The following is a 23,658-nucleotide window of genomic DNA, read 5'->3' on the forward strand; positions in this document are numbered from 1 at the left end:
GGGAAAACTGCCCCCATGACTCAATCACCTCCCTCTCTCAACACATGGGGATTACAATTTAAGATGAGATTTGGGTGGGAACGCAGAGCCAAACCATATCATATAGTACATACTCTTTTCGTGCCTGGCTTCTTTCACAGAGCACATATACACATTCCTAGAATTTGATTTCCTATAGGTAGTTGAACAGCCTCTCCTAGAGTAACCTGAAGGATTGAGGTATGGGAAGGTATAGAACGCCTTCCCCAAGATGTTGACTGGGGCTGTCCCTTGCCACTGGGTCTGCACTGCGGCGCCCCCCCCCCCCCCGTCCCCCCCAACACAGATGGGCTAGCCTGGGGTGGAATCTGGAAGTTGGTAAGCTGTGCTTTTGGCACTCTCTGCCTTCCTCTTTCAGGTCCATTCTCCTTTCCTGTCTTACTACTCCTTATACGCCTAACTCTCAATCCTCAGCCATCCATGGTTTGACTGTTCAGAGACCCATGGTGCCAGTTCTTTTTGTTCTCATATTGCCCCCTGTCCATTGAAGCTCCTCAGCCCCTCAACTTGAACACGCCCCCGTTCTTATTCTGTACCTCCTCAGATTACTGTCACATTGACGGACTTGAACCTCAGAGATAGACAACTTTTCCCTTCCCTCCTCTCCTCCTTCCCATATACTTTTCTTATGGATATGGAACTGAGGACCAGAAAGGAAGGTAACTTACCCAAGATCTCACAGATGGGTAAATAGGGGTAGAAGGTGTGGATCAAGGGATTGTATGCAGCCTTTATCTCTAGGTGCTGGTCTCTCTTACCTTGGGTCTGTCTCTTTTGCCTCTCCTTTCCTCTTTCCCTGCTACTTGACTTGTTTCCTACCCTGGTAGCATTCCTGCTTGCCAGATGCCACAGGGGAAGGAGAACTTTACAACTCCCTGGGCTCTCTGGTAAGAACACCCACCTGCACGGGGACCCTTCCTCTCCTTCCTACAGTGATTGGTTGTCATCCTCTTCCCTTCCTGCAGTGTACCCTCCTGGCAGAGGCAAGGCTGCCATCGAGGCTAGAGCAAGGCTCAGATTGGGTGGCATGCAGTTGTGGCCTATTTCTGTTTGCTGTGTGGCAGTTTGGAGATCCCATTTCTTTTTCTGGATATCACCCCCCTACCTCCTCCTGTCATTCCTTAGGCCAGCCTCTAAATTCAGTGACCATCAGGGTTGAAAAGGGCAGTGTGGGGCCTAGAAAGGAGCTCTCTCCTAGGAGTTAGGAGACCTGCCAGCAGTGAACTGTGTGAACTTGTCCCTTTGGGCCTCAGTTTTCTCATCTGTAAAATGAGAATTGGATAAGTTGGTCTTCAAGGTCCCTCCCTGAGATACATTTTATGCTGCTGCTTGATTTAAACCACTGAGCCACAAATGAAAGGTTCCAGTTGCAACAGTGTAATTAGGCTTAGCAGATGGGTGAGATGAAAGGAAGGACATGTTCTTGCCCATAGGATTATCCTTTCCCACCCATTTCCTTGCACCTCACTGGTGTTTCCAAAAAGCAAATGACAACCCTTGTTTTTCTCTGCATTCCCATTCAAACCTTTAATCTTCTTTTATCTTGATGAACTTGTATTTACCGTTAGACAGCCATGATGCAGAATTCACATTACAGTGTGTGGTTCTAACTCTGCCATGGTGAATGTGATGGAGGTTGGAGCCGATCACAGCTGGTCCCTGGAGAGAGGGCTGTGTGTGTCAGATTTATTGTGCTGCAGCTCCAGTTTTGTTTTGGTTTAGTTTTTAAATCCCCAGTGTCAGTTTTGCTGATTTCAGTTAAAACTAAAGATTGTGAAGGGAGACAGAGACAGGTTCATGCCCTCTGAGTTTTAGAGATTGGTGATATAGTCGTTGGGTGAGGGCCCTCTGTCTTATATCCTTTGCTTAAAACATTTCACCTTGGAAAGGCAGAAATTAGCCTTGTTGAACTTCAACTCCCTCTGCAAGAGGAAGAAATACTGAATACTGTTTCATTATTGATATCTTTTTAATGAGTACTGAAAGCCACTACAGGATCTTTGTTTCACCTTCAGATAAAATGTTTCATCTTTCATTCTCTGAAAAAAAAAATTGAGTATTTTAAGAATAATTAAAGGAAAGGCAGTAGTTTCTGGATCCTGCCGTTGCTGCCTTGGCCTCTCCTGCCTTTTCTCCACTTCCACTCCTCTCCCTCTATATTAGTGTAGAAATGTGTCAAAAATTTCTTGCTTCTTCCATTAGTTTCTATTTTGACCCACCCCAGTGAATGAAATAAGCATAGAATTGTTACTTCTATTTTACAGAAGAGAAATTCTTATTTTTTTGTTGTTTTTATTTTTAAGTTCAGGGGCACATGTGCAGGATGTGCAGATTTGTTAACATAGGTGGACCTGTGCCATGGTAGTTTTCTGCACAGATCATCCCATCACCTAGGTTTTAAGGCCAGCATCTATTAGCTATTCTTCCTGATGCTCTCTCTCCTCCCCCACTGACAGGCCCCAGTGTGTGTTGTTCCCGCCCCTGTGCCCCTGTGTTCTCACCATTCAGTTCCCACTTACTAGTGAGAACATGCGGTATTTGGTTTTGTATACCTGCGTTAGTTTGCTGAGAATAATGACCTCCAGCTCCACCCATGTTCCCGCAAAGGACGTGATCTCGTTCCTTTTTATGTCTGCATAGTATTCCATGATATATAGAGGAGAAATCTGAAATGTGGCAAGGTTAAGTGACTTGTCCATGGTCACACAGCTGGTTGATGAACAATTTGTGATAAGAATCCAGGACTCTTGAATACTAGTGATTTGTCAACACGATTCCATCTCCAGTCCTCATCCATACACACCTGCCATTAGGAAAGTCTTTACCACCCCAGCCTATAGTCTTTGTCATTTCTCTCACTGGCCAGCTTCTGAAAGTACAGGTCAGAAGCCAGTTCATTAGCTGGTAGGGTGGGTGGTTAAACGGCAAGGCATAGGAGGTAGAGGAGGGAGAAAGGAAGCACAAAGCTCAGGCTTAGTTTTTCCTCCAGAAGGTGTAAGAATTACTTATTTCAAAGAGTCAGAAAAGTGAACAGAGTCAGCATTCCCTTTTCCTTTGCAAATTGATTGAATTTCTATGGCGAGTATTAGCTGCAAGGCAGTGTTAATCTGCTCCAGCAGATCCATCATCAGATTGATGTGCAGGGGAGACAGGATTGTCTCTGGTGCAAAGGCCTTTTTGTGTAGGGCACACCATCTTTATGTATGATTGAGGCCTGGTGTGTTAAATGCCTCACACTGGGATCTTACCCATGTTTGTCAGTTGCCTCCCTTGAAAGTATTGAGCTTTTTGAAGATAATATAGCATCATGGTTAAGGTAAGACATTCGTTCTCTCTGCCTGAATTTGAAACGTGGCTGTGCCACTTACCAGCTCTTTGACCTTTGACATCTTAGTTCACCTGTCTGTGCTTGAGTTTGCTCATCTGTTCTAATTAGGGGTTGTGGATTAAATGACTTAATAAATGTAAAGCACTGAGGAGAGTTACACAGTGTTGTGAGGAAAGCAGTTTTTCTTCCATGCAGCCCTCCTTCCATTCCCCCATCATGCACAGTGTGTGTGTGTGTGTGTGTGTGTGTGTGTGTGTGTGTGTGTTGACAGCTTTTCGAATCTGCATTTCTAGCTGGCCTGCTGAGCCTGTCAGGCAGCTGTAACCTCACTCAGGTTTTAGCTGTGGGGTCCATCTACATTTGACATGTGTTTCTAAATGTGGTCCTCAGTAAGCTCCTTTGTGGGGAGACCTTGGAGAAAGGAAACCAGAGAGTGTGCACTGTGCACCCCCAGCCACACATGTTCTGGGTTCCCACACCTTAGGGACTGGGGACACTGCAAGACATAGCCGAACCTTGGATGAAAATATTGAGTAGCTGCCTCAGTTTGCTTGGACTGCTATGATAACATATCATAGACTAAGTAGCTTAGACAACAATAGTTTATTTTCCCACTGTTCTGGAGGCTGAAAGTCTAAGAGCAGGGTGCCAGCATGGTTGGGTTTTGGCAAGAGCCCTCTTCCTGGCTTGCAGATAGCTGCCTTCCTACTGTGTGCTTGCATGGCCTTTCTTTGATGTGTGCAGCAGGTGGGGTGGGGGGAAAATCAGTGAGGAAAATCAGTAACCTCGGCCTTGCATCTTCTTTGGTCCCATGCATGATGTTATTTGTAAGGCAGTGTCAGATCTCCTCATACATGGAGAGGCATTAAGTCTTCATTTCCCTGTCTTCTAGAGGTTTGGGATAGAGGGTGTGAAGGAAGAGCAGATTATGCTTACTCTATCTTTTAAGCTCAGAACTGGGGTGTGTGTGTTGGCAGGAACACCAACATGATGATGTATAATGAAGGCCTATCTTGTCACCTGTGTCACTTCAGCCACCCCACACAATTGTCACTGACATGCTTCACCTCCCGGGACTTCAATTTGAAACCCAATGAAATCCAGTGAAACACAGTGGAAACTCTTACCACCTTCCTGTTAACCAACTCACAGGAGTGATGAACACTTTTCAGTTCCCTGGATGAAACACTCTTGAGCAATGCCCACAGCATGCTGAATGCACTGCAGGCAGGCTGCTCTCTGCCATACCCACTCGCTTCAGCACCCACTGGCTGAATTATGTGCTTACCAAGAGCCAGCTTGTTCCCAAACCCATTTGTTCAGCTGTAGCTGGTATTGTAGTTAAGTAATGTATTTAGGTATCAGATAAACTGATGAAATGTAGCTGCAAATGAAGTGATTTTTTTCCCCTATGAACACTAGTTAAAAGCTGTGGAAAGACTTATAAGTCCAAGTCACTAAAACACATTACTGTCAAACTAGATGAACATTAAGATTGGGGGAAATCATAAAACTCTAGAATTTTATATTGTGATTACTCTGCAAGTAATCACAATATAACTTTAACCAGCTTTAACAAATCAGGAATAGGAAATTGTCGACAATGTATTATGTTCTGGTCCATGTGCGAAGGATGATGTGGACCTCTTAACCAGTGGGTCCTCTTTGGACCCTTATTCAAAGAGTCTTGCCCTATGTTAAAGAATGGGCGAATGAATGCAGATTTATATACATTGAGTAAAAATAAGAATTTTAGATATGTAATTTTTATGATTTTTTGCTGTGACTTTTTTGATTAACCTGGTTCCTGGACCTGATTACATTGAAAATGAGGATTTCTACTGTTGTGATTCAGTTTAAAGTTGGTTTGATTTCATTTTAGTGAATTTAGGGTATTTTATTTTGCGTATGGTAAAAACAATAAAACCAACAGTAGTGGGGCTTTTTAAACTGGGGTTTTAAAGCAAATTAAGGTGGCTCATTCTGGATTTTAGTAGGTTCTTTTGTTCCTCTCATTGACTTGCAGCATACTGAGTGAGAAAGACCTAATTTTTTCACTTTATAAATGAGGAAATTGAAGCCCTGAGAGGTAAAGCATGTTGGTGATAGTCATCCCGGGTGGCTGGAGTGAAGTGGGCAGAGCCACAGTGGGAGGGGGCCTCCTCTCTAGCCTCCCACTTTGATTATCTGTCTGGCCCCAGACCTGGAGCTTTCTTTCCATGATAGGAGTACTTCTTTGGGTTGACTTCTCTGGTGACAGTATTGACTTGTGCTCCCCACTTTGGAACAGGACCAACTTGGAGGCCTTGCAGAAGAAGCTGGAGGAGCTAGAGCTTGATGAGCAGCAGCGAAAGCGCCTTGAGGCCTTTCTTACCCAGAAGCAGAAGGTGGGAGAACTGAAGGATGACGACTTTGAGAAGATCAGTGAGCTGGGGGCTGGCAATGGCGGTGTGGTGTTCAAGGTCTCCCACAAGCCTTCTGGCCTGGTCATGGCCAGAAAGGTGAGTTTGCCTTGATTAACAGGTAATTGGATTATTTCTCAGGGTACTTAGAAGCCTGGGGACCAGGGTAGAAGGAAGACTGATTTTACTCAATACCTTTTTGTGCTGTTTGAATTTTTTTTTTTTTTTAAGACGGAGTTTCATTCTTGTTGCCCAGGCTGGTGTGCAACCTCCATCTCCTGGGTTCAAACGATTCTCCTGCCTCAGCCTCCTGAGTAGCTGGGATTACAGGCATGCGCCACCATGCATGGCTAATTTTTTTGTATTTTTAGTAGAGACAGGGTTTCTCCATGTTGGTCAAGCTGATCTCGAACTCCTGACCTCAGGTGATACGCCCGCCTCAGCCCCACAAAGTGCTGGGATTACAGGTGTGAGCCACTGTGCCCAGCCGTGCTGTTTGAATTTTGAATGCTTGTTATCTATATTAGATTATGGATAAACACACTAATGACTGTGTTAGTGTATTAATCCCCATCCCATCTGGAAAATAATAAGTGACTCTTTTTTAGCCTTCTGTGTGCTGTGGAAGGAATGCCAGGATACCTGTTTATTACTTATCAAGTGCTGGAGAAGCTGCTTTCATTCACCCAGCCCCAGCGATGCACAAAACAAGGATTTCAAGTTGTTTCCCTCTTGTGCTCCAGCCCTGCCAGTGAATCCCCTTTATCTTCCTGCATTATAGCATCTGAACTCCTATCATAGCATGTACTTGTAGAGCTGGACTTCCCTTTCCTATCTACCCTTGGTCCTCTTTTGGAATACAGCCCCTTGCTCCAGAGAGGTTGGGCTCTTCAATGTTTTTTTGCACATGGTGTTCACTCCTGTGCCCATAATTTTTTTGTGTGCTGTTGCTTCTGTCTTTTCAAACAGTGCCCATTTTCTAGGTCCACCTCTTGTCTAGCTTTTACCAGGTGCCCCAGCCCACACTGGTAACCACTGCATCCATGTTCTCTGACACTCGCTGTCTGTGGGATTTTTTTAGAAGTTCAACCTTACTACGTAACTATTTAATGTGACTGTCACTTGTCTCCCCAGCTGGAACAAGGGAAAATGTTAGGATGACATAAGGTAGCACCTTAGACTTTGGCTTAGTCTCAACCACATCAGGCTCCTGAGCTCAAGGAAGAATCTTTTGGGCAGCCTAGGTTAGCATACCTGAGTTCCTCATACCCTTCTACTTTCACAACTCTTGAGTGTGAACCAAGTCCTCAAGGTCAATTTCTTTTCATATCTGAGCTCCAAAGCCTCTCTTGGAGTAAGCCCTCCCTTAACTTTGTTCCTGTCTAGGCTCCCAGGAGCCGAGGCACAGCTGGAACAGCCTCCAGTGCCAATGCCTGCCTTAGTACAATGACACTCATTTCTTGGTTGAGCAGAAACTTGTTTGTAACAACTTAACCTGTTTCTCCTCCCTCTACCTTAAAGAGCTTAAACATTTAACAAGACTATATCTTTCATCCCTTCCTCCCTCTTTCTTTCATAAAACCTCTCTTTCTTCCACCTTTCTCCAGCTAATTCATCTGGAGATCAAACCCGCAATCCGGAACCAGATCATAAGGGAGCTGCAGGTTCTGCATGAGTGCAACTCTCCGTACATCGTGGGCTTCTATGGTGCGTTCTACAGCGATGGCGAGATCAGTATCTGCATGGAGCACATGGTATGTGACACCCTCTCAGCCTCTGGAGCAATGGCCTTAAGAGTTGGGTGGCTCTGGCCTAATCTTTGGTCTGGGAGGTGACCAGCTACCTCCCTGCTGCTCCTGGGATCCACATCACTATCTGGGGCATCTGGGAAGTCTAACTGTAGAGCTTGGGATATTCACAAGATGGCAGGCCTCCTTTCTAGGTCCTTGCCTCTCTTGAAGGAAGTGGGCAGTATTCCTGGTGGGTGTACCTAGAGCACCTCTCATAGTTTTTTTGATTCTGATTACCCTAAGATGTGATGTAAGTAAAATCTGGTAAATACAGTTTAAATCCATTTCTTGTGTACAATGCTGTATGCTAGGTGCAAGGCTCTGGAGTTAAAAAGATGACATAATCTACTGTAAGGGCAGCCTGAAGGGTTTCTCTGGGTTTCTGTATGATGCACGTTAGTGGAAGGAGAGGGCAATGGAGAGAGAGGGCATTCATGGGCTAATTAATCATATGCATGTTAGCTGCCAATCATTTTACCACTATGTTCTTGGAGTCCCTCCTTTTCTTCAGATATAAGTCTTCCAACACACTGTGCAACTTAGGGAATTCTGCAAGTATTAGTCTTTGCTTTATTCTCCCTGGGCTGATGGCTTAGAGATGAGGGCTGACGTGAGTCTGCACACTTGGTGGCTGTTGTGCTTTCAGTCCAGTATTGTGTCTCTCAGCTCCTACCCCATTTTATTCCTGATACTTGAGACCTGCCCTGACCTTTAGAATAGGGATCCTGGTGTGCAGCCTTAATGAACTTTAGAAGAACCCTCCTGGGAGGATTCTCTACTTGTGCCTCCATTATTTTGAACCTCTCTTCATTGTAATGATCACGAAGTGCTGCATCCACTGTTATAGGCATCTGCTGACATTTGTGGGTGCCATATGGAACCTAAATCCTAAAAACGTCTTCTGCACATCTAAAGGTTAGAGAAAGTGCTTGTTCCTTCTTTCCTCAATGAGAGCAGAGCATTCTCTGTGGGAAGCATATGAACATTTCTGGCTTGGTCCTAGTGCTTGGCCTGGGGTGCTGATTATTTTCTGCTTGGGTCTTGGCTTCCCCTCAGGGAGCTGTTTCTTATCCCTTGGGTCTCTTGTGTTCTTTTTTTTTTTTTTTTAATTTATTTTTATTTTTTAGGGTGATGAAGGGTTTTTTTCCCCTTTCTTTTTTTTTCTTTTTGTTTTTTTAGACAGAGTCTCGCCCTGTCACCCAGGCTGGAGTGCAGTGGCGCGATGTCGGCTCACTGCAACCTCCACCTCCCAGGTTCAAGTGATTCCCCTGCCTCAGCTTCCAGAGTAGCTGGGATTACAGGTGCGCACCACCACGCCCCGCTAATTTTTTTCTATCATTACTAGAGATGGGGTTTCACCATGTTGGCCAGGCTGGTCTCGAACTCCTGACCTCATGATCTGCCCGCCTCGGCCTCCCAAAGTGCTGGGATTACAGGCATGAGCCACCGTGCCCAACCAATCTTTTTATTTTTCTTACATTGACCTCTTTTGAGATACTAGGAGGCTTCTTCATTTACATTGACCTTTTTTGAGATGCTAGGTGGCATCCTTATTCTGGAATTCTTTATTCACTTTGAACTTACAGATGTTGATCACATCTCTTGTGCCCTTGCCATGTCCTCCCCTTCCTTCAAGCCTTCCTCCTCCTTCAGGAGAAAATGACACTGGAAATGACTGGAGTTGGTTTCCCATTCTCTTAGCCCATTTCCAGTGACTGCAGGTCAGTTTTTCCCCCCATGGATTTGGCTCTCTGGAAATAGTGAGATGTTCCTGCACAAGTCTCTGGAGTTATCGTGGAGAGCATGAGACTGGGAGGGGAAAATGTTTCAAGGGCCAAGCACAGTGTCTGGCACCTGTTAGGTGGTATGTGTTGAGTGACTGAATGAGAGTGGCCAGGATGGGGAAGACCTGGTCAGGCTTGGGACTCGATGGGGGAGGGTTAGGCCTTGGAGCCTGCCATAGGACCTTTTGGCCCTGGGTGTACATAGACCCAGAGGGCAGCTAGAATAGTCAGTCAGTGGTAGTGAAGAGGCTCAGGTGCTGCCGGAGCGTCTAGATGGGACCATGTAGGAAGCAGCTGTGGCCTGAAGACCAGGCAGCCATGAGAGCCAGAGTGGCTTTCTGCTTCAGCTCTGGGCACTCTCAGCCCTTCCTTATTCCTGAGCAGGTCCTGTTGCAGGAAAGGCCCTGCCCTGGCTTCCTCTGGATGGAAAATTCTGACTATGGGCTGCTGCTTCCCTTGGACCTTCTGCTTTGCCTCAGCTTCAGTTTTTCAAAGGTGTTGTCAGGTAGAGAGACCTCTGTTCGATAGCCACATCCCAGCTTCTGAAGGTCTTTGGTCCTCTCTCTGTCACAGTCTTTGCATGAGTTTTGTGTCATGAATATTATTTTCCCAACACTTTATTATGAAAATTTTCACAGGCTGGGCATGGTGGCTTACACCTGTAATTCCAGCACTTTGGGAGGCTGAAGTGAGCGAATCACCTGAGTTCAGGAGTTCAAGACCAGCCTGGCCAACATGGTGAAAACCCATCTCTATTAAAAATTACGAAAATGGCCAGACACGGTAGCTCACACCTGTGATTCCAGCACTTTGGGAGGCTAAGGCGGGCAGATCACCTGAGGTCAGGAGTTCGAGACCAGCTTGACCAGCATGGAGAAACACCATCTCTACTAAAAATGCAAAATTAGCCAGGCGTGGTGGCACATGCCTGTAATCCCAGCTACTTGGGAGGCTGAGGCAGGAGAATCACTTCAACCCAGAAGGTGGAGGTTGTGGTGAGCTGAGATTGTGTCATTGCACTCCAGCCTGGACAACAAAGGCAAAACTCAGTCTCAAAAAAAAAAATTACAAAAATTAGCTGGCGTGGAGGCAGGTGCCTATAATCCCAGCTACTCAGGAAGCTGAGGCAGGAGAATCACTTGAAACCAGGAGGCAGAGGTTGCAGTGAGCTGAGACCACGCCATTGCACTCCTGCCTGGGTGACAAGAGCAAAACTCCATCTCAAAAAAAAAAAAAAAAAATTCTAGCATGCAGGAAAACCTGAAGGAAGTGTACACTCGTACACCCACCACCTAGATTCTACAACTTATGTTTTGAGATATTTGGTTTACCATATATCCATTTCTCCGATCAATTTTGGGGGGCGCGTGGGGTTCTGTTTTTGTTTGTTTGTTTTTGAGACAGGGTCTTGCACTGTTGCCCATGCTAGAGTACAGTGGTGCAATCTCAGCTCACTGCAACCTCTGCCTCCTGGGCCCAAGTGATCTTCCCACCTCAGCCTCCTGAGTAGCTGGGACTACAGGCACATGCCACTATGCCTGGCTCATTTTTGTGTTTTTAGAAGAAATGGGGTTTCACTATGTTGCCTGTGCTGGTCTTGAACTCTTGGGCTCAAGCAATCTGCCTGTCTCGGCCTCTCAAAGTGCTGGGATTAGAGGTGTGAGCCACCACGCCTGGCCCTGGGAATGTGTTTTAAAGTAAATTTGTGTCATCAGCATTGGTTGAGCCCTGTCTTCTAAAGCACTCAGCCAGGGGCTGATCTTTCCTAGAAATAAGCTCTGTGTGCACTGCCCAGTCTGAATTTTGAGACCCAAGGAGGGAAATTGATGCTCTCTGATCAGAACAGGAATGCTTTTATCTTTGGGGAAGTAGATTGCTGCTCAGGTTGGTAGCTGAGCCAACCGGAGAACTAGGGACCCAGAGTTAATGGTTCTTGTGCAGGAATAAAAGCTTTTGAACTGTTATTTTCATAAAGCATTTGTCTCTTCCATAGAAAACCTTCACAAAAGCACCATTGACTTAGTTAATAATTGGCTTCTAAAAATAAGCACAATTTCAGCAGCTTAAGGCAAGGACTTGGCAACAGTGAATTAGAATTAGAAAGTTGTATGGTTAGTTGCAGGCAACCCTGGGGAATCCTGACTGGTGTATGCCCCTTACATTTTGTAATTCCATCGTTCACACTATACTCTGCTTGAAGCTCTGTGGAGGTTAAAGGGAAGAGAGCCAATGTTTCCTTTTTGTTTTAAAATTAACTGATTAATTTTACAGATACGGTCTTGCTCTGTTGCCCAGGCTGGAGTGTGGTGGCATGATCATAGGTCACTATAACTTTGAGCTTCTGGGCTCAAGCAGTCCTCCCGCCTTAGCCTCCCAAGTAGCAGGAGGACAACAGATGTGCATCACCATGTCCAGCTAATTTTTATTTTTTGTAGAGATGGAGTCTCACTACTACGTGGCCCAGGCTGGTCTTGAACTCCTGGCCTCAAGCAATCCTCCTGCCTTGGCCTCCCAAAGATTTGGGATTACAGGCATGAGCCACTGCACCTGGTTTGTTTTTTCCTTTTTAATAGAGATATTTCTCTTACCAACCCCCAGGGGAAGTGTAAACCAAGACAGTTATCTGGGCTGCCCCCTGTCCTAGGCTGCATTTAGGGTCAGTTGAGAGGTAGTGCTGGCTGAGCACAGTGACTCACACTTGTAATCCCAGCACTTTGGGAGGCTGAGGCAGGAGAATTGCTTGAGCCCATGAGTTCGAGACCAGCCTGGGCAACAAAGTGAGACTCCCCATCTACAAAAAAAATCAAAAATAGCTGGGTGGGGTGGCACGTACCTGTGGTCCCAACTACACGGAAGGCTGAGGCAGGAGGATCACTTCCTCCTCTGAGCATCAGTAGCATTGTCTGTTCTCTTCATTCAACTGTTTGTTCCCTGCCTTGTTTCAGAGGAGGATTTAAAATGCCTTACCTCTTATGAATATATTCTGTCTCCCTAAGGAGAGAGTGTGTTCTATCTTTATCTTAAAGGTTTAAAAAAAGACAAAAAAAAAAAAAACCTAGTTCTTACATATACAGAGGCATTTGATAAATGATAGAAGATGATGATAACTGCTCAATATAGACAGGATACTTTAGAAAATTTGTTTTGAGTTTTCAGGAATTAGGTCTACATCTGAGAGTAATTTTAAGTTGCAAGTGGTAACTGGCTACACCTGAAGCCATAGGGGAACTTAACCTATTTCTGCCTTGATACATCAGGATCCCCTTAGTGAGGCATTTCTTCAAGATCGCAGGTTAAAATGTAGAACCCCTTAACGGGAGCCCCTGGTATGTGAGCCCTGCAGAGCCTGGCTTCACACCATACTTGCATCCTCTCTTGTGCTCTCTTTCCACTGCCTCTGTCCGGCACCCCATTCATGTCATCTCATCTCCTTACCAGTCTCTCTGCCTCCAGAGTCTTGTTTGTCTCCCTCAGCTGCTGTGATTCTCATCTTTAAACACTCAGGTTGGATTCTTTTACTTCTGACTCCATAAAGTCAAGTCCCGGTTCCTTGGTGGGGTTCTGGTCACAGCCGGCCATTTCTAGCTTGCACCTCTTCATGCACCAACAGTGAAATGACCACATCATCCCAGGAGTACTCAGCAACGTGATGCGTCCCTGCTTTGATCTTATTGCAGTGCTCTGTTCTTCTCTCCCTTTTCTCCTCCCCTTTTCCAGGTATAGAAATCATGTTCATCCTTTGAGTAATATTCAGCTCAAATGCCATCTTTTAAGTGAAGTCAGAATTACTTCTCCCTTCTTCTGCATGTCTGTATCACTTTCTTAGGCAGTTATGGTTTCATTGTAATGTTGGGAAAAACTCCCAGACCGTGTTTTTCCTTTACTGTCACACCACAACAATCAACACAGAAGACTTATGTGACCAAAAGTGTGGAGGGATTTTCTCTACACTCTAAGCAGTGGACACCAGCTGGGTGTCCTCCTGTTTAATTCTGACACTACCAGATGATCATGTCAGATCCCATGGGTTCAGGGCTCAGTCCCCAAGACTGCACCACCACCAGTTGCCAGTCTGGGCCTCCAAAATGTCTGACTGACTGGCTTTAAGTTGGGACTCCCATGATCCTATCTTTGAGTTCGATTAATTTGCTGGATTGGCACACAGAACTCAGGGAAACACTTAATTTTACTGGTTTATTATAAAGGACATTGCAAAGGATACAGATGAAGAGACACATAGGACAAGGTATGGGAGTGGGGTACGAAGCTTCCATGCCTTCCCTGGGCGCACCACCCTCCAGGAACCTCCATGTGTTCAGCTGTCCTGAAGTTCTCTGAACGCAGCCTTCTGGGGTTTTTTTGTGTGTGTATTTTTTTTTTTTTTTTTTTTTTTGAGACAGAGTCTCGCTGTGTCGCCCAGGCTGAGTGCAGTGGTGTGATCTCGGCTCACTGCAAGCTCCGCCTCCCAGGTTCATGCCATTCTCCTGCCTCAGCCACAGCCGAAAGTTATCACTTGAAAGAATAGTTAGAACATTGTCACTAACTGGTCTGGTATTCTCGATCTTAGGATGGAGGTTCTCTGGATCAAGTCCTGAAGAAAGCTGGAAGAATTCCTGAACAAATTTTAGGAAAAGTTAGCATTGCTGTGAGTATGTTATGAAGTTTTTCTTCTAAGTTCCTCATTGATAAGTTAATGAGTCGGTAAGAAATGGACAAGAGAGGAAGATGGGAAGTCAATGAGGGGAAAGTTTATAAGAAAAGTGGTATTTTCTCACTAGACTCTTCCCTGTCTGGAGTCTATATACACTATTCTCTCTCACATTAGAATGAGAAAAGTGACTTTCTTTATATTAAAATCTGTGTGTCTTGAAAAACGGGCCAGGCACAGTGGCTCGCACCTGTAATCCCAGCACTTTGCGAGGCCAAGGCAGGAGGACTGCTTGAGCCCAGGAGTTCAACTCCAGCCTGGGCAACATGATGAGACCTCGCTTCTACAAAAAAATAAAAATAAATAGCTGGGCGTGGTGGTGCACACGTGTAGTCCCAGCTACTTGGGAAGCTGAGGTGGGAAGATCACTTGAGAGGCTGCAGTAAGCCATAATCCATGATTGTGCCATTGCACTTTAGTCTGGGCGACAGAGTGAGACCCTGTCTCAAAACAAAACAACTCTTTATACCATGTAAAAAGATGGTTGCTTGATAAGGCAGGTTAAGAAAATGAAACAAAAGAGTAAAAAATAAGGGGCTGGGCGCGGTGGCTCATGCTTGTCATCCCAGCACTTTGGGAGGCGGAGGCGGGCAGATCACCTGAGGTCGGGAGTTCGAGACCAGCCTGACCAACATGGAGAAACCCCCATCTCTATTAAAAATACAAAATTAGCCGGGGGTGTTGGTGCATGCCTGTAATCCCAGCTACTCGGGAGGCTGAGGCAAGAGAATCGCTTGAACCCGGGAGGGGGTGGTTGTGGTGAGCTGAGATCACGGCACTGCACTCCAGCCTGGGCAACAAGAGCAAAACTCTGTCTCAGAAAAAAAAAAAGCCCAGGCACGGTGGCTTACACCTGTAATCCCAGCACTTTGGGAGGCCAAGGTGGGTGGATCACCTGAGGTCAGGAGTTCGAGACTAGCCCGACAAACATGGAGAAACCCCATCTCTACTAAAAATACAAAATTAGCCGGGGGTGGTAGCGCATGCCCGTAATCCCAGCTACTCAGGGGGCTGAGGCAGGAGAATCACTTGAACCCGGGAGGTGGAGGTTGTGGTGAGCCGAGATCGCGCCATTGCATTCCAGCCTGGGCAACAAGAGTGAAACTGCGTCTCAAAGGAGGAAGGCAAATTTGTGATGATGATAAATGAAGTATTTTCCTAGAGTATTTTAAAATAGATTGAGTATTTTTCTTATCACCAGTATTTTCTTTTCTTTTACATTCCCTTTCCTCTAGGTAATAAAAGGCCTGACATATCTGAGGGAGAAGCACAAGATCATGCACAGAGGTAAGAAGTTATTTGCTAGTTATTTTGCTTTGAATTTTAGATATAATCCAAAGGCTGTTGCTTCCTCTTTTTTCTATGTTTTGTTTTCGTGTAAAAGCCTTTTAATAACATGTTAAATCTTTTATTAAAAGTCTTTGTTTAGTTTGGTGGCTGAGGCAGCAACTCCTACCCTCTTTTTGGTCTTGCTACACCTATTGCCTATAGCTGTGATGGACAATAGTCATAGTCACCCTGGAAGCCCAGCTAAGAGCCTCAACCAGCACTTAGTTACCCAGTCTCCGGTGTCACTATTCACTGGAACAGTGAACAGTGCATGTGCATATGCCTAAAGCCAGGACTGGCCAGCTGCATATGAGTTTTACTATAAAAGAAACTGATTTATTGCTGGGTACAGTGGCTCATGCCTATAATCCCAGCACTTTGGGAGGCCGAGGGGCAGCGGGGGGAGGTGGGGGGGTGGATCATGAGGTCAGGAGTTCGAAACCAGCCTGACCCAACATGGTGAAACCCCCCTCTACTAAAAATACAAAAATTAGCCGCCAGCCATGGTGGCGAGCACCTGTAATCCCAGCTACTTGGGAGGCTGAGGCAGGAGAATTGCTTGAACCTGGGAGGCGGAGGCTGTGGTGAGCCGAGATTGCACTGCTGCACTCCAGCCTGGGTGGCACAGCGAGACACAGTCTCAAAACAACAACAACAAGAAGAACAAAACACATTAAAAAAAGAAAGAAACTGATTTATTTTAATAAAGGTACACATACACTTAACCATGTGACCATACCATCTTAGGCATTTGTCCAAGATAAAATATAACATGCATCCACACAAATGTTTAAAGAAGCTGTATTTCTTGTAGAAACAACTGAAATGTCCTTCAACAGGCAAAGAGAGAAACAAATTGTAGTATATCTATACAACAGAATACTCTTCAACAATAAAAATGAAAAGACTACTGATAACACCTAACTTTGAATTTCAGGAACATTTATGCTGAGTGAAAGAAGGCAGATACAAAACAGCCCAAGCTGTTTCCATTTATGTGAAATTAGAGAATAACAACAAATCCATAGTGGCAGAAAGTAGATCAGTGGTTGCCTTGAGGGGTCTAGGGAGAGATTAAAGGAGCATGAAGGAACTTTTTGGGGTGACACAAATGTTACATCTTTTTTTTTTTTTCAAGAGCACACATCCACTTCTATGTATTGACTTCTCATTAGTTTAAATCCTTGAAGGGGGCTGGGCACGGTGGCTCATGCCTGTAATCCCAGCATTTTGGGAGGTCGAGGCGGGCAGATCACCTGAGGTCAGGAGTTTGAGACCACCCTGGCCAACATGGTGAAACCTTGTCTCTGCTAAAAGTACCGAAAATTAGCCGGGCGTGGTGGCGGGTGCTTGTAATCCCAGCTAATCAGGAAGCTGAGGGAGAAGCTTGAACCCGGGAGGCAGAGGTCGCAGTGAGCCAAGATTGCGCCACTGCACTCCAGCCTGGGTGACGAGCAAGACTCCGTCTCAAAACAAACAAACAAACAAAAAACATTCTGGCTAACACGATGAAACCCTATCTCTACTAAAAATATAAAAAATAGCTGGGCGTAGTGGTGAGTGCCTGTAGTCCCAGCTACTCAGGAGGCTAAGGCAGGAGAATGGTGTCAACCCAGGAGGCGGAGCTTGCAGCGAGCAGAGACTGCGCACCACTGCACTCCAGCCTGGGCGACAGAGTGAGACTCCGTCTCAAAAAAAAAAAAAAATCCTTGAGGGGTACAGCATCACTTGGATTCTGTTTCCAATAGCCATAGTAGGAAGAGTGCTTCAGAATTTGGCACAAACTATGCCACTGGTTCTGTGGGCCCGAGTTACCTTTCTCCAGATTACTCCAGTGTTGTTTGGTTTACCACCAGGAGTCACTGTGTTGTTCTTTGCTTTGTATACATAAGCACATCTCTTGCCCAAATAGAATTCTGTTTCATCTCGGGCATAAACACTTTCAATTTTAGGAAGAACTGCCTGCTCCCATTGGTTCCGGATACCCTGCTTATAGCCGGCAAAAATGGCCTTGCACCACAGCCTTCCACATATTTCCTTTTAGAAGTCCTGTTCCCAGCAGGCCTCCATGGCATCCAAGATGGCGGGAAGTGCAAATGTTATATCTTGACAATGGTGATGGATACATGGCTATATACATTCGTTGAAAGTCAGCTGTCCACTAATGTGACTGCATTTTATAGTATGTAAATTATACCTCAGTATAGTTGCTTTTAAAGAAGATGAAGCCAGAGGACAGGAAATTGGTAAACATAGTGCTGTCGGCCATGTCCCTTCAGCCACAGCACTGCCAACACTGACTGGTGTTGAGAGGAGAGCTGAAGCGGAGATGAGTGGACTAGGGTGGGCTGTTGGAACTGACTGGACAGCTTACAAGCCCCGTAGATTAGGTGATACATCACTGGTGAGCAAGCTGAGCACTGAGTGGAGCCACCTTTGACATGGCTGACTCCTGGATGCATTTTTTTTTTTTTTGACGTCCCCCTTCTCTCCCCTAGTGTTCTTTTTGTTAGTCTAACTTCTTCCAGATACTGATCTTTCAGGTCTTCAGTTAGAGGTCACTTAATTATGACAGTGTTTGCAAGTGTTGGAGGGTGGTTCTGATTCAGTAGGTCTGGGGTAGGGCACAGGGACCTGAAAATTTAGAAATAGGCAATTAGCTGGGCGTAGTGGCTCATGCATAGTAATCCCAGCACTTTGGGAGGCCGAGGCGGGCGGATCACTTGAGGTCAGGAGTTTGAAACCAGACTGGCCAACATGGTGAAACCCCGTCTCCACTAAAAACACAAAAATTAGCTGCGTGTGGTGGCGTGTGCCTGTAATCCTGGCTACTCAGGAGGCTTAGGCAAGAGAATTGTTTGAACCTGGGGGGCGGAGGTTGCAGTAAGCTGAGATCATGCCATTGCACTCTAGCCTGGGCGACAGAGACTCTGTCTCAAAAAAAAAAAAAAAGTTTAATTGTAAAAAATATATACATAAAATTTACCATTTTCTCAAGTTTTCAGTGTATAGTTCAGAGGCATTAAGTACATTCACATTCTTGTGCAGCCATCACCACCATCCATCTCCAGAACTTTTTTCATCTTACAGACCTCAAGCTGTGTCCATGTAACAACTCTCACCGGGCGTGGTGGCTCACACCTATAATCCCAGCACTTTGGGAGGATGAGGTGGGCAGATCACCTGAGGTCAGGAGTTCGAGACCAGACTGGCCAACATGGTGAAACCCCCTATCTCTACTAAAAATACAAAAATTAGCCAGGCGTGGTGGCACACGCCTGTAATCCCAGGTACTTGGGAGGCCGAGGCATGAGAATCACTTGAACCTGGGAGACGGAGGTTGCAGTGAGCTGAGATTGTGCCACTGCACTCCAGCCTGGGCAGCAGAGCAAGACTCCATCTCAAAAAAAAAAAAAAAAAAAAACCCACTATTTCCCCCTTTCCCCATCCACTGGAAACCACCAATCTACCTTCTGTCTCTATGAGTTTGACTACTCTAGGTACCTCATATGAGTGGAATTACACAGTATTTGTCCTTTAGGGACTGGCTTGTTTTAGTTAGAATAATGTCTTCAAGGTTCATCCATGTTGTATGATGTGCTAGACACTGGTTCTTAAGTAAGTGCTGGTTCTAATGCTGTGGTCCATAGCCACATTTTGGGAAACACTGCATTGGGGGTAGAGTGAGTAGCTAGGTGGGCTGTGTAGAAAGAGGAGTAATGGCAGCTTGTCCTAGTGGGATTTGTCGGGAGAAAAGAAATAGAAAATGAAGCACAAAGAAGAATATTGTGCAAGTGTTCCCTCTCATTTCCAGGGAAAATTTCTCAAAATATTGAAAGATTTCTGTCCATGGCAGACTTGTAGTTGGAATTTGCATGACCAGCTTATAGCTTGTACATATGGTTCAGTTTTGTGCATCTATTAATTTCAACCTGGGCCACCAAACTGCATTGTTAAGAACTAGAGACTATTGGCTGGGCACAGTGGCTCACGCCTGTAATCCCAACACTTGGGGAGGCCGAGGTGGGTGAATCACAAGGTCAGGAGTTCAAGACCAGCCTGGCCAACATGGTGAAACCCCCGTCTCTACTAAAAATATAAAAAATTAGCTGGGCGTGGTGGCGGATGCCTATAATCCCAGCTACTAGGGAGGCTGAGGCAAGAGAATTGCTTGAACCTGGGAGGCAGAAGTTGCAGTGAGCTGAGATTGCGCCACTGCACTCTAGCCCAGGCAACAGTGTGAGACACTGTCTCAAAAAAAAAAAAAAAAAAAAAAAAACAACAACAACCAAAAACATTCAGAGAGAGGACAACCATTTTGGAAAACAGGTATTAAAATTTCTTGTTAAATTATACCACCATGAACTGCACTCCTTGGCATTTACCTAAGATAAATGAAAACATTTGCTCATGCAAGGACTTGTTACACAAATATTCATAGCAGCTTTATTTATAATTGCCCAAAATTAGAAGCAACAAAAATATTATTATCAGATGAGTGGGTACATTTTAGTGTATTCAAACAATGGAGTACAACTCAGGAATAAAACTATTGATACATATAACTTCGATGAATCTCAAAAACATGCTAAGTGGAAGAAGCCCTGTACAAAAGAGTACATACTGTGAGAGCCTGCTAATACGAAATTTTAGAACAGACAATCCACAGTAACATATAGCAGATGAGTGGCTGCCTGAGGGTTTAGAGGTAGGGATAGTTTAACATCAAAGTGCATAAGGGAACTTTTTTGGAGTAATAGAAACACTAAATCTTGTTTGTGGTAATAGGTTCACAGGTGTGAACATTTTTGAAAATGCATGAAAGTATACACTTAAAATGGTAACTGTAGGCTGGGTGCGGTGGCTCACGCCTGTAATCCCAGCACTTCAGGAGGCCGAGGTGGGTGGATCACCTGAGGTCATGAGTTTGAGACCAGCCTGGCCAACATGGTGAAACCCCCGTCTACTAAAAATACAAAAATTAAGCCGGGTGTGGTGGTGGGCGCCTATAATCCCAGCTACTTGGGAGGCTGAGGCAGGAGAATGGCTTGAACCTGGGAGGCAGAGGTTGCAGTGAGCCAAGATCATGCCATTGCACTCCAGCCTGGACAACAAGAGCAAAACTGTCAAAAATCCTCAATAAAATACTGGCAAACCGAATCCAGCAGCACATCAAAAAGCTTATCCACCATGATCAAGTGGGCTTCATCCCTGGGATGCAAGGCTGGTTCAATATACGCAAATCAATAAATGTAATCCAGCATATAAACAGAGCCAAAGACAAAAACCACATGATTATCTCAATAGATGCAGAAAAAGCCTTTGACAAAATTCAACAACCCTTCATGCTAAAAACTCTCAATAAATTAGGTATTGATGGGACGTATTTCAAAATAATAAGAGCTATCTATGACATACCCACAGCCAATATCATACCGAATGGGCAAAAACTGGAAGCATTCCCTTTGAAAACTGGCACAAGACAGGGATGCCCTCTCTCACCACTCCTATTCAACATAGTGTTGGAAGTTCTGGCCAGGGCAATCAGGCAGGAGAAGGAAATAAAGGGTATTCAATTAGGAAAAGAGGAAGTCAAATTGTCCCTGTTTGCAGACGACATGATTGTTTATCTAGAAAACCCCATCGTCTCAGCCCAAAATCTCCTTAAGCTGATAAGCAACTTCAGCAAAGTCTCAGGATACAAAATCAATGTACAAAAATCACAAGCATTCTTATACACCAACAACAGACAAACAGAGAGCCAAATCATGAGTGAACTCCCATTCACAATTGCTTCAAAGAGAATAAAATACCTAGGAATCCAACTTACAAGGGATGTGAAGGACCTCTTCAAGGAGAACTACAAACCACTGCTCAAGGAAATAAAAGAGGACACAAACAAATGGAAGAACATTCCATGCTCATGGGTAGGAAGAATCAATATCGTGAAAATGGCCATACTGCCCAAGGTAATTTACAGATTCAATGCCATCCCCATCAAGCTACCAATGACTTTCTTCACAGAATTGGAAAAAACTACTTTAAAGTTCATATGGAACCAAAAAAGAGCCCGCATCGCCAAGTCAATCCTAAGCCAAAAGAACAAAGCTGGAGGCATCACACTACCTGACTTCAAACTATACTACAAGGCTACAGTAACCAAAACAGCATGGTACTGGTACCAAAACAGAGATATAGATCAATGGAACAGAACAGAGCCCTCAGAAATAATGCCACATATCTACAACTATCTGATCTTTGACAAACCTGAGAAAAACAAGCAATGGGGAAAGGATTCCCTATTTAATAAATGGTGCTGGGAAAACTGGCTAGCCATATGTAGAAAGCTGAAACTGGATCCCTTCCTTACACCTTATACAAAAATCAATTCAAGATGGATTAAAGATTTAAACGTTAGACCTAAAACCATAAAAACCCTAGAAGAAAACCTAGGCATTACCATTCAGGACATAGGCGTGGGCAAGGACTTCATGTCCAAAACACCAAAAGCAATGGCAACAAAAGCCAAAATTGACAAATGGGATCTAATTAAACTCAAGAGCTTCTGCACAGCAAAAGAAACTACCATCAGAGTGAACAGGCAACCTACAACATGGGAGAAAATTTTCGCAACCTACTCATCTGACAAAGGGCTAATATCCAGAATCTACAATGAACTCAAACAAATTTACAAGAAAAAAACAACCCCATCAAAAAGTGGGTGAAGGACATGAACAGACACTTCTCAAAAGAAGACATTTATGCAGCCAAAAAACACATGAAGAAATGCTCATCATCACTGGCCATCAGAGAAATGCAAATCAAAACCACTATGAGATATCATCTCACACCAGTTAGAATGGCAATAATTAAAAAGTCAGGAAACAACAGGTGCTGGAGAGGATGTGGAGAAATAGGAACACTTTTACACTGTTGGTGGGACTGTAAACTAGTTCAACCATTGTGGAAGTCAGTGTGGCGATTCCTCAGGGATCTAGAACTAGAAATACCATTTGACCCAGCCATCCCATTACTGGGTATATACCCAAAGGACTATAAATCATGCTGCTATAAAGACACATGCACACGTATGTTTATTGCGGCACTATTCACAATAGCAAAGACTTGGAACCAACCCAAATGTCCAACAATGATAGACTGGATTAAGAAAATGTGGCACATATACACCATGGAATACTATGCAGCCATAAAAAATGATGAGTTCATGTCCTTTGTAGGGACATGGATGAAATTGGAAACCATCATTCTCAGTAAACTATCGCAAGAACAAAAAACCAAACACCGCATATTCTCACTCATAGGTGGGAATTGAACAATGAGATCACTTGGACACAGGAAGGGGAATATCACACTCTGGGGACTGTGGTGGGGTCGGGGGAGGGGGGAGGGATAGCATTGGGAGATATACCCAATGCTAGATGACACGTTAGTGGGTGCAGCGCACCAGCATGGCACATGTATACATATGTAACTAACCTGCACAATGTGCACATGCACCCTAAAACTTAGAGTATAATAAAAAAAAAAAAAAAAGAAAAAAAAAAGCTAAATATAGAAAGCCACCTGCTTTCTAATTGTACTGGCTGCCATCTTGTCTTCTTTCTACTGACAAGAAAGTATCAATAAGAGGTAGTGATTGGTTTGAGGGGGAAACAGTTTTTCTACCAGTTTAGTCCTTAATCTGTGGCTTCTTAAGACCTCTGAGTTCCATGTTAGAATATTTTAATGTATTAGTTTCTAGGAAATAGGAGTAGCTGAAAGGAGAGGAGGAGTGAACATTCTTAAGCATGGAGTTATGTTCTAGGCTGCGATTGACATATGCAGTCTACCACTATGCAAGGACGAATGAGGTCAGTGTTGTAGGAACATCTGGTGGAGTAAAGGCATCCCATCATCTGTGAAGTGGAGTCCGCCTGCCTACTCAGAGGTTGCTGTGAGGATTAAGAAATTACATATGGAAAGCAACTGGCAAAGTGTTTTGCTTATAGAAAGCTCTAATATGCTAATTGCCTTCCCCGTTTCTTTATATAATTTATAAGGAAACTAAAAACCAGCGATTAAAACCTTAGCTTTGGTTTCTATATGTGTAAAATATAGTTCTTATGTTTGTCTCTCATTAACCTGTAAGTTTCTTCAAATCTGGGAACATGTCTAATTGCTGTGTATATATCTTCAGTCCTGAAGATGATAGTAGAAAACAGTTCTTCTTTGAAGGTTTGTTACATGGATGGATGGATGATTAACTTGTGCCAGAACA

At 44.6% G+C, this 23,658-nt stretch overlaps 1 protein-coding gene and 1 pseudogene across 4 annotated transcripts in view; one reads left to right on the forward strand and one right to left on the reverse strand.

Moving 5' to 3' along the window:
* MAP2K1 (mitogen-activated protein kinase kinase 1) overlaps window positions 1–23,658 on the forward strand; it is a 104,633-nt gene that overhangs the window by 42,458 nt on the left and 38,517 nt on the right. For 2 of the 4 annotated variants that reach the window (NM_002755.4, XM_011521783.4), the window contains exons 2-5: window positions 5,658–5,868; window positions 7,377–7,523; window positions 13,911–13,988; window positions 15,287–15,338. In NM_002755.4, coding sequence (NP_002746.1) covers window positions 5,658–5,868; window positions 7,377–7,523; window positions 13,911–13,988; window positions 15,287–15,338 — 488 coding nt within the window. The remainder of the gene's footprint in view (window positions 1–5,657; window positions 5,869–7,376; window positions 7,524–13,910; window positions 13,989–15,286; window positions 15,339–23,658) is intronic. The other 2 variants (XM_017022411.3, NM_001411065.1) reach the window with 1 other exon arrangement.
* RPL35AP32 (ribosomal protein L35a pseudogene 32) lies at window positions 17,027–17,471 on the reverse strand (annotated as a pseudogene).

Source organism: Homo sapiens, chromosome 15 (genome assembly GCF_000001405.40).
Source record: "Homo sapiens chromosome 15, GRCh38.p14 Primary Assembly".
NCBI classification, from domain to species: domain Eukaryota; kingdom Metazoa; phylum Chordata; class Mammalia; order Primates; family Hominidae; genus Homo; species Homo sapiens.